The sequence below is a fragment of the Homo sapiens genome (assembly GCF_000001405.40).
Source record: "Homo sapiens chromosome 16 unlocalized genomic scaffold, GRCh38.p14 Primary Assembly HSCHR16_RANDOM_CTG1".
In the NCBI taxonomy this organism is placed as follows: Eukaryota; Metazoa; Chordata; class Mammalia; order Primates; family Hominidae; genus Homo; species Homo sapiens.
In genome coordinates, this window is record NT_187383.1 from 663,277 (window position 1) to 674,503 (window position 11,227).

At 34.6% G+C, this 11,227-nt stretch overlaps 1 pseudogene; it reads right to left on the reverse strand.

Annotated features, from left to right (window-relative positions):
• The window catches only part of LOC102723945 (sodium/hydrogen exchanger 9B1-like), a 278,678-nt pseudogene extending 269,855 nt beyond the window's left edge, over nucleotides 1-8,823 (reverse strand).
• Between the last annotated feature and the right edge of the window lie 2,404 nt (nucleotides 8,824-11,227).

Genomic DNA, 11,227 nt, shown 5'->3' on the forward strand with positions numbered 1-11,227 from the left:
AGCACATCCTGCAGTTGCCGCTACTGCTACTACAGATACTCCTGCTTTTTGTACCATTTCACAGTATAAATATGCTATGGAAGCTCACAATCCTCAATGGCATTTTCATGCACAGCCCCAGGTTACCTTGAAGCAGCCTGCTGTTCATGTAGAAGGTCAAGAACCTTTGACTTCCATGATGGCATCTGCTCCTCCTCAAAAGCAAAAGGAAACGAGTGAATGGCTGTTTCCTCTTCTTCAAGCCATGCCCTAGTCGTGCTGGTAAAATCATTGGTATGTTGTTGGAGATTGGTAATTTGGAACTCCTTCATATGCTTGAATCTCCAGAGCCTCTCTATACTAAGGTTGACAAAGGTATAGCTGTACTACAAGACCACCAAGCTAAAGAGGCTGCCCAGAAAGCAGTTAATGGTGCCACTGGTGTTCCAATTGTTTAAAACTGATCAGGGACCACAGAAAGAAACTTGAGCATCACTGAAGAAAAATATCTCAATATCAAAAACCTTAAATACTATGGAAAAAATTTGTAAAGTATAAAATAAATTTAAAAAGGAAACTTTGAACTTTACATACCAAGCAGATGTCAGATCTAACAAATGCAATGATAGTCCTAGATTACTTATTGATTTGAAAAGAAAAAATCCTCCCAAAATAATAAAATATAGAAACACTGTAATGCTTTTCAGACTCTGTGATAAATAATTTTCAGCAAAGTATAAAAATTTAAAGCATTCCTTTAATTTTGTAATTCATTAGTGTGGAATAGCTAAGAATGTCACTTCTGTTTTAAGTAACAGAATTGATAACTGAGCAAGGAAAGGTAATTTGGATTATAAAATTTTGCTTTAATAAAAATTCCTTAAACAGTGAAAAAAATAGGCAAAGATACAAAAAAAGTTTATAAGAAACAACAATCTTGTATTTATTTGTTTTTTATTTTATTTTATTTTATTTTATTTTTTTGAGATGGAGTCTCACTCTGTCACCCAGGCTGGAGTGCAGTGGTGTGATCTTGGCTCACTGCAACCTCTGCCTCCCAGGTTCAAGTGATTCTTCTGCCTCAGCCTCCCGAGTAGCCGGGACTACAGACACCTACCACCATGCCTGGCTAGTTTTTTGTATTTTTAGTAGAGACAGAGTTTCACCATGTTAGCCAGGATGGTCTCCTTCTCCTGACCTCCTGATCCACCCGCCTTGGCCTCCCAAAGTGCTGGGATGGTGTGAGCCACTGTGCCCAGCCTTATTTGTTTAAATACTATAAACACTAATATCATACACATGGTTAACTGGTTGTAATTTTTAAATTATATTAATAAATTTTTATAAAAACTTTTTATAAATAAAAAACTTAAAATTTCAAATAAATAACAACATCTGCCACACTACCTTAAAACGGCGACTATTTCAGTATTATAAACATATATCACAGACACTTAGAGAAAGTTCAATAAATAAAGAATAAAAAGAAAAGGTACAACAATTTTCCTCCTAATCAAAAACACAATTCCTCATTTTGAAAATTATTTCTTATCTCTCTTTTATTAAAATAAACTTTCTACTTTGAAATCTAATCCTCTTGTGAATGTAAAATACTATCTTGTAAATATATATATATACACATATATTTTATTATTTTTTTTTTTTTGAGACAGAGTCTTGCTCTGTCTCCCAGGCTGGAGTGCAGTGGTGTGATCTCAGCTCACTGCAACCTCTGCCTCCTGGGTTCAAGCGATTCTCCTGCCTCAGCCGTCTGAGTAGCTGGGATTACAGGTGCATGCCACCACATCTGACAAATTTTTTGTATTTTTAGTAGAGACGGGCTTTCACTATGTTGGTCAGATTGGTCTCGAACTCCTGACCTCGTGATCTGCCCGCATTGGCCTCCCAAAGTGCTGGGATTACAGGCATGAGCCACAACACCCTGCCTATATTTTTATTTTTTTATAAGTGACAATGAGATGTCCTCATGATTTAAATAGTAGTCAAAACACTGGCACAGTTTAAATTTTTAGAATTTGAGTACTAGAATTACAATATTTGAAAATGGAGTCTGTACTTTGTTGTAAAACTATAAAGAGAAAATGTCACTAAAACAGTAGCTATTTTATCTTTTCCCAGAGTTATTCTCCCAGAGTGTATTTTCTAAGAGTTATTTCCCAGACGGTTTTAGAACTTTTGGCAGTTTCGGTGATATATTCTGTAAACGCCCTTAGTCTTAATAGGGATAACACATAGTTTTGATTGCCTTAAATTTTAATTGCTTCACTTGGCAAATGTATGTGTAAATTTCATATTCTGTGGTATTTTAATATCTTGCTTGTGAGAAGAGGAAAAAGAGGAATGAAAGTAATATTCAGTCCTTGCATTGAGCTTTTGCCAAAGAAGTCTAAAGAATTTCTAAAATGCCATTCAATAAGGCCATTTTAGAAGTGTTTATATGACTCTTATAACTTTAAAATAAAGAGTCTTGAAGTTAACTAAAACTCACTTTGCTTGTGATGGGTTCTACATTAACATGGCAGATTTAATCAGCCAGAATTAAAAGGTAATTTTATATTACTAAGGAGAAGAAACTGCCACATGACAGTAGTCTCCAAGTCTTTCATTTTTGGAGGCTGCCTTTTATGTCTAGATTTTAAAATACTAATTGAAAAAAATATAGTTTACTTCCATTTGTGATTTAATTTTATTTCTATAAATAAAAATATAGATAGTGTTTCAACTAAAAACCGCTAAACCAGACTTTCATTTTAAGGGCATGGCAGAAATAAGGAAAGACTAACTTGGTTCTATTACTTAACATATTATTTATTCAGGTAGTCAACAAAACCAGAATTTAAAATCTATTCGGTTAACCCATTTAAAGTTGATGTGTTTTACTCCCTTTTTTTTCTTTTTGTAGTGATCTTTTTAACTGAATTACTGGATATCATAGGGAGTTCTACTCCTCCTATTTGGAAACTTAGGCTATCTTACCAAGTTCAACATTCAGTTTTTCTTTCTGCCGTTAAGTTTGTTTAATTTTATATTAAGCTCAGTTTGCATTATGATATCAAATTCAGCCTGAGGGATTACTTTAAACTTTCCTAGGGTATTTACAGATTTAATTTGTTCTTACAGTATGTAAATACCAAGACAGCATTCCATTTAATATTATTTTTATTAAATTAACTTTGGAGTAAAAAGTCCAAGAAAAGCCCTGTACCGAAATCCTGGATTTTCTACATATTTCTACTTTAAAATTCTTCTGTCATGTGAAATAATTCATTAAAAGAAGTAGGCAGATGATGACAGGTAAACTTTTTAATGATGTTCTAATGCTGGCAATTGCAGTATTATTTTGCTTGGATCATAATGGCGTGTGAGCATTTTAAGCCCCAGAATGCCCATAAGTAGAGCTCCATTTGGAGCTGTGATCAAGATGGCTAAAAATGCTACTGTCATCACATCCTTTGCATATGGTTCCAAGTGGGGTGCGGAGACTGTTGCTGTTTCTAGAGCCAGAGGACCTAACACAGCCTACATTTAGGGGTAAAAATGGGGCATAAAGAAAAATATTAAACTGAGTTAATATATAATGTAAATGGCTCTGTTAAAATAAACAAAATCTAGTACTAGACTATTAGAAAAAAAAAGTACTCAGTAATTTTCATAAGTTACTCATCAGTTCCATGTTCTTCCTAGCAAATATATGTGGAGGAAGAGTACAATAGTGACAAATCAGCATGCAAACATTTTTCGGCTGATTTTGCACTCTTGTCCTCTCAGTGTTCCTCTATTCAAATATCTCTTTTGAGTGTTGCCCTCATAACACCAGGAGTTCTAACGAAACTGGTTTTGCTTAGTTGCCTTTATCGTGTACCAGTGGATTTTGACTACAAGAAGACAAAATAAAATATTAAGTTTTCTTCTGGTTCTCTAGGATTTGTTGCCCTTCTTCTCATTGTTGTCCTTATTCAGGGGGCACTGGGTTATAGCAGAACTGACAGCAGGCTTGGAATCTAGCAAACTGGGTTTGAATTCTATTTTTGCTTCAACCAGGCTAGTGACCTTGTACAAATGACTCACACTCTCTAACCTTCTACTTACTTACGTGTAAAACGAAGAACAAAATACTTATCTTACTGGACGGTTGTGAAAATTAAATATTAGGATGTGAAGAATACCTGGCACAGAGTAGGTATTCAGATAGTAGTAAGTTTCTTTCTCCTTCACTCCTCATCCCCTGCCAGGTCAGAGATTGAGTTCCTTTGAAGTTTTTGTTTTAGAATGACTCTACTGGGTCACAGGTTTTTTTCCCTAGTTACCTTCTACCACATTATTTTTAATAACATAAAGCAAATTTCTTGCTAACTCTCTTTCCTTGTGTTTAATAACTAGGCATGAAATTGCCTTAAAATTTGGGGGAATTAAATACCAATATATAACATATTTTCGATGGAGTTGCAAAGTAACAACATAATAGTAGAAACATTACCTCTGATATGGAACATTATGGCAAAAGAACCCCTCAATTTAAGATCAATTTCTATATCCTAAATCAATAATTTAAAATGGTATTATTTTTATATCATAACTTTCAATGTACTGAACATGATCCAGTATGCTGGAGGATGCTAGGGAGAAAAAAATAATCATGCAGAAAACCACCTTGAAAGAATCTTACAGTTTAGAAGAGGATTTGAACATAAAAGAACTGCCAACAGAAAAAACAAAAACAAAAACCAAACCCATTGACTTTTAAGAGATGATGACGATAATGGTGAAACTAGAAATAATATTTTTATAGTTATATGGCATTCATCATATGTCAGGTATCATTCTTAAAGCTTTCCATTTATCAATTCATTTAATTCTTATGACAACCTTATTATGTGAGGACTTTTATTAGATGATAAATGATTTCCTCCTAGTGACTGAGATTTAATATTATTTCTTTAAAAAAATCCAATTGCCAAGCTGATCTTACATTTGTAAATTAAATTATTTATTTACTCTCCTAATAGCTTCTATTTTTCCAGTCTAATTTTTATCAGTAACTCAAAACTAAGGAACAAGAGAAAGATGATCCTTAGCCAATTTTATTTTAGCAGCAGAGAACGGCGGAAGAGGATAAAGGTGAAAATAATTTAAAATTGAAATTTAAATATTTGTTGATCGTATTTACTTGTGACATTATTGTTATCTATTATTGCTGTTGTGACTCTACTTGTATAAATAATTAATTTTTTATGTCTTGCCAGTTCCTGGAACCAGCCTGATATTCTTTTTGTAGAAGCTAGCCTGGAGCCAGCAGACAGGAATAGGCAGAAGCAGAATAATACTGCAGGACTCGAGTGAGTGGTCTCTTTCCTCATACCAGCTTTTCTTTTTTCCCTGCTTTATGAAAATTATGAAATAATGAAACAAAATTGCAAGAGTATTGTTGGAAGGAGAGAGAACAGATACTCCTTTTGCAGATTTATTATTCCCTAGAGTAGACATTAAAAATAAAAAGTTATTATTTATATTTCTTGAAGGTAAGATAAAATAACAGCATTGTTTTTTAACTGAGCACCACCATATGCCAGAGAGAGTGCTAAGCACTTTACATGGATTATCTCATTGAATCCTGACAACACTGCTAAGAAACAGATACAGTCATAGACTTCATTGTAAGATGAGAACACTGAAGGACTGAGAGACTAGAAAATAATTTTCCTGAGGTTATAGGCAAGTAACATGGTATTCAAAACAGGTAGTCTGGCCCTATGAACCTGCTTTTCTAACATGATAATAGAGGTTTTTTTGCATGAAAATTTAGGAGCTTCTGTTTTGGAATAACAACTAAGAAAAGAGTCACAGGAAATTAAGGTATATTATGCTGCCAAGTTAAACAGTCTAACAAGAAGTAGCAATATATTTTAGTAGGAGGAGAATATCCTTGAATAACAGGGCAAAATTACAAGGTTTCCCTTTCCGTTCATTCATCCTTGCAGGCATGCAATACGTATTTGCCTCCTGCATGTCAGGCACTGTGTTAAGTGCCAGGGAGAAATAATGAAAAACAACGGCAACAACCAGACACTGTCCCTGTCCTTACGTAGTCTATCAAGGGGGCGGGGGCAGGGATTTAGCCATTAACCAAATAGTATACAAATAAATGTGTAATTAAAAAAATATATGTGCATTTGTGTGATGGAGTGAGTGGCAAGGTAGGAAAAGTATTTTTTAAAAAAATCAATGTGTCTCTATTTTACTTTACTTTTTTTTGTGACAGGGTCTCACTTTGTCACCCAAGCTGGAGTGAAATGGCGTGACCTCAGCTCACTGCAGCCTCAACCTCCTGAGTTCAAGCAATCCTCCTTCCTCAGCCCCCAAGTAGCTGTGACTACAGGTGCGTGCCACCACACCTGACTAATTTTTTTGTATTTTTTGTAGAGACGGGGGTTTTACCATGTTGCCCAGGCTGGTCTTGAACTCCTGAGCTCAAGTGATCTGCCTGCCTCAGCCTCCCGAAGTGCTAGGATTACAGGCATGAGCCACCATGCCTGGCCTGTGTCTCTACTTTTTAAAATCATAACATTTAGCTTTGTTATATTCAGCAAAATATAAAAACTCCAATTTTCAGATATATTCTTATTATATATTTTAGGAAAATAAAAAACATATTTTCATAAACTTAGGAAGTACTTATTGAAAGAATACTTTTTGATTTCAAAATAATTGCTTTTAAAACTGAGATTTCAAAAGGTTACATTGGCTGGGCCCAGTGGGTTATGCTTGTAATCCCAGAACTTTAGGAGGCTGAGGCAGGAAGATCACTTGAACCTAGGAGTTCAAGATCAGCCTGGGCAACATAGCAAGACCTCCTCTTTACAAAAAAATCAGAAAGAAAAGGCCAGGTGCAGTGGCTCATGCCTGTAATCCCAGCACTTTGGGAGGCTGAGGTGGGCAGATCACTTGAGGTCAGGAGTTTGAGACTAGCCTGGCCAACATGATGAGACCCCATATCTACTAAAAATACAAAAATTAGCTGGGTGTGGTGGTGTGCACCTGTAATCCCAGCTACTGAGGAGGCTGAGGCAGGAGAATCGCTTGAACCTGGGAGGTGGAGGTTGCATTGAGCTGAGATCATGCCACTGCACTCCAGCCTGGGCAACAGAGTAAGACTGTCTCAAAAAAAAAAAAAAATCTGAAAAAAAGCAGTTGGGTATGGTGGCAGGTGACTGTGATCCTAGCTACTCAGGAGGCTGATGTGAGAGGATTGTTTGAGCCCAGGAGGTTGAGGCTGCAGTGAGCCGTGATCATGCCACTGCACTACAGTTTGGGTGACAGAGTGAGACCTGGTCTCAAAATGAAAATAAAAATAAAAATAGAAAAAGGTTACATTGAGTTTCTTTGTTTGTTTTTGTTTATTTATTTATTTTTTTGAGATTGAATCTTGCTCTGTCACCCAGACTGGAGTACAGTGGTGCCATCTCAGCTTACTGCAACCTCCGCCTCCTGGGTTCAAGTGATTCTCCCATCTCAGCCTCCTGAGTAGCTGGGACTGGTTACGTTAATTTTAATGAATAGTTATGATCAATCAAACATTTAAAAAGTAAGGACAATAGCTCATATTTTGTGATTGGAGTAACATTTTTCATTTTAAATTTTAAAAGCATCAAAACAAAAGCATTAAGCAATAGGCTTAATATGTTCTTACCTGTACTGTAGCTTTGGGCATCCATGCTAAAGCAATAAATATTTTCTCCTTAAAACTAAAACCAGCAAAGCACATCAATAGATATGTGGTTAAAATTCGAACACATAATGCCAAACTCAAGAGTGGCAACAGATATGCCTACAACAGATGAAAACAAACATAAATAACAAAATATTTGTGAAGAAGTGTTCTTTATGCCCAGGAATATGATTTCTAAAACTTTCGAAAGCATTTTAAGGCTATTGTCTCTTCATGTGTTTAATTTTTACATAAAATAATGATAATAAAAAATGAATATGATGGAGGATTCTCTGTAAAGTGCAAGACAGTATCTGATGGTGGAGGTTCCATGAAAAATAAGACAGATGACATTTATACAATTCTGAACTAATAGACTTTTTTTGAATACTTTTATTATTATTAATAATAATTTACTTTTTGAGAAGGATTCTTGCTCTGTCGCCCAGGCTGGAGTGCAGTGGTACAATCTCAGCTCACTGCAACTTCCGACTCCCGGGTTCACGTGATTCTCCTGCCTCAGCCTCCTGAGTAGCTGGGATTATAGGCGCGCACTACCACACCTGGCTAATTTTTGTATTTCTAGGAGAGATGGGGTTCCCCATGTTAGCCAGGCAGGTCTTGAACTCCTAACTTCAAGAAGTGTGCCCGCTTCGGCCCCCCAAAGTGCTAAGTTTACAGGCATGAGCCACCATACCCAGCCAATAGTTTTAAATGAAAGTACTCAAAAAGTGCTGATCGTATCAAATATGTTCCCTCAGGAAAGAAATCTTATATTTATTTCCTTAGATAACTCAGGGAAGATATTCAGGGCTGTTCCTGGTTTAAAAAAGAAAGAGCACACAGTGTAAAGGAAGAGCAATATGAAAATATGACACTGTATCAACATGTGTTTCTGAAGAAGGTCCTTGTAGCCATTCAAAGATATATTGTAAATAAAAATAAATGCATTTATAATTTTCTTAAATATTTTTGAATTTCATATTTTTTGTGCTCTATTTATTCTTACCAACAATATTTGATTCAAGCGATGAAACAGATACTTCTGCTCCAACTAAACCAAAAAGAAGTGGTTGAAAAATATCCCATACATTTGTAATAATCTTTTGGACTTTCATCTATAGAAAAGAGAAATACATTTATAATTATTTTGGCACATAAATATATTTCAGAAAGTTAAGTTCTCCCTCACCTTTTTTTTTTTCACTTTTTAAGTATTTTAGAGATGGGGTCTTGTTCTGTTGCCCAGGCTGGAGTGTAGTGGCATAATCTTAGCTCACTGTAGCCTTGAACTCCTGGGCTCAAGTGATCCTCTCGCAGTCTCCCAAGTAGAACTACAGGTGTGTACCTCCATGCTGGGCTAATTTTTAAATTGTTTATAGAGACGGGGTCTCGCTATATTGCCCAGGATGGTCTAGAACTCCTGTCTTCAAGTGGACTCTGGCTGTGGCCTCCCAAAGCACTGGCATTATAGGCATGAGCCACCATGCCTGGCCTAAAGTCACTTAACATTTAATAAATTTAATACACTTTATTTTAATAAAAATGTTAAACTTAATTAATAAAAACTGAGCACTTCAATAGTTTTACTTAAACACTTAGGTAGAATTTGATTAAAAGAAACTTACAAAGCAATAAAATAATACTATTTGGCCATTTTGTCACAGAATAAGTGATGTCCTTAGGGTTCTAGCCATGTTTCGTATGAGTTCTAGATTTTGTCTCTAAGTTAACTGAACAGAGATAGAACTACATCATGCCTGATGAGAACATACCCAGTTCATGCAAACATTTGGGATCTCAGAAGGAGGTTGGGAAGCCTTCCACTAACAACCATCCTGGAACTCAATCCCATTAAAGTGAATCCTGATATATATAGCATATACTACTAGGAAAAACAATTTGGAAGTCTACTAGGCCTGCTTCCAAAGAACCCGTGTTGAATACTTTAAAGTTACTTTTTCCTCAAAACAAAAGAAAACATATATTAGATTCTCATTTAGCTGCCTATCCGGCTTCCCTTTCTGAAAACGAATGCCTCCCAGTACTACTTCCCCAATTAAAAGGTTACAGGAAAGGCCCCCTATTGGCCTACATTACTCTGGCTCTTCTCCAGGAATTTGGATGAAGAGATTTCAGTCTCAGTCTGGGTTTAATTTTTTTTTTAAACAGAAGATACATAAGAACTTTGATGTCTCTTCCTTGAGGCATAAACTATCTTTATAACTATTTCCCTTATGACTGTGTTTTCTGATCCCCACTTATTATAGTTTAAAAAAAGAAAAACAAAGAAAAACGATGTTACTACTCTTTACAGCATAATTATCCTGTTTGTTACTTTTAATCTTTAAAACTTGTTTTAGTTCTGTGTCTTTTACCATTTAAAAAAATTCTAGCAGTTTTAATTTTATTTATTGATTTGCATTTCATTCATTTCTTTTATAATTATGATTATATAAGAATACTAAGCAAAATGCCACTATGATTTTTGATTAGGGAATTTCTCAAGCTGATTCTAAAATTTATCTAAGAAAGAATATGTGTAGGAACAGCCAAAAAATACTTTAAAAAGAAGTAAAATCTATATTAGATTTTGACACATAAAAGTGCAGTGATTTAAAACAGTGGTGTTGGCATAGAAATAGAGAAGTAGGATTAAATAGACTTCAGAATTAATATATATGGGAGAATTTAGTTCATGTTAAAAAACTGAATTATTAATGAATTGGTCAATAAATAATTTGGCAAAAAATGACTGTCTAGTTTATGTGCATATATACGTATGTACATATTCATCACATGCAAGTATATATGTGTGTCTGAATATGTATGTATATTTATGTGTGTGTGTATATATATATATACATATATATATACACACACACATCAGGCATGATGTAGTTCTATCTCTGTTCAGTTAACTTACAAACTGTATGTGTGTGTGTGTATATATATATAGTTTGTAAGATACACATATGTATATATGTATAACCTTACCTCACAAAATTCACAAAGATAAATTCCAGATAGAATAAAAGACTAAATGAAAGAACAAATTAAACAAACAAAAACTACCAAAATATTAAATGATAATACACAAAATAGTATATCTTTGTAATGTTTATATGTTATAATCTTCAGTGAGAGAGTCCTTCTTAAATGAGATGCAGAATCCAAAATCAAAAAAGGAAAACCCAATAGGTTTGGTCGTAGGAAATTTTACTTTCATACACCAGACACCATAAACAAGCAAAATTATATGCAATATATACATAACAAAGGATCAGTAGCCCTAACACTAAGAGAAACTATAAATTAGAAACAAAAAAATAAATAACCCAATAAAAATGGTCAAAGAAGATCATAGGTATTTTAAAAAGAATATATGAAGAGAAGCTTACTATACTACTAATCAGAGAAATGTAAATAAAGAATAACAACATCACATAATTGTTAGAAACTATAAGAATTGGATGGTGAGGTCATTTAATAGTAAAAAGAATAGAACTAGTGATAATATCA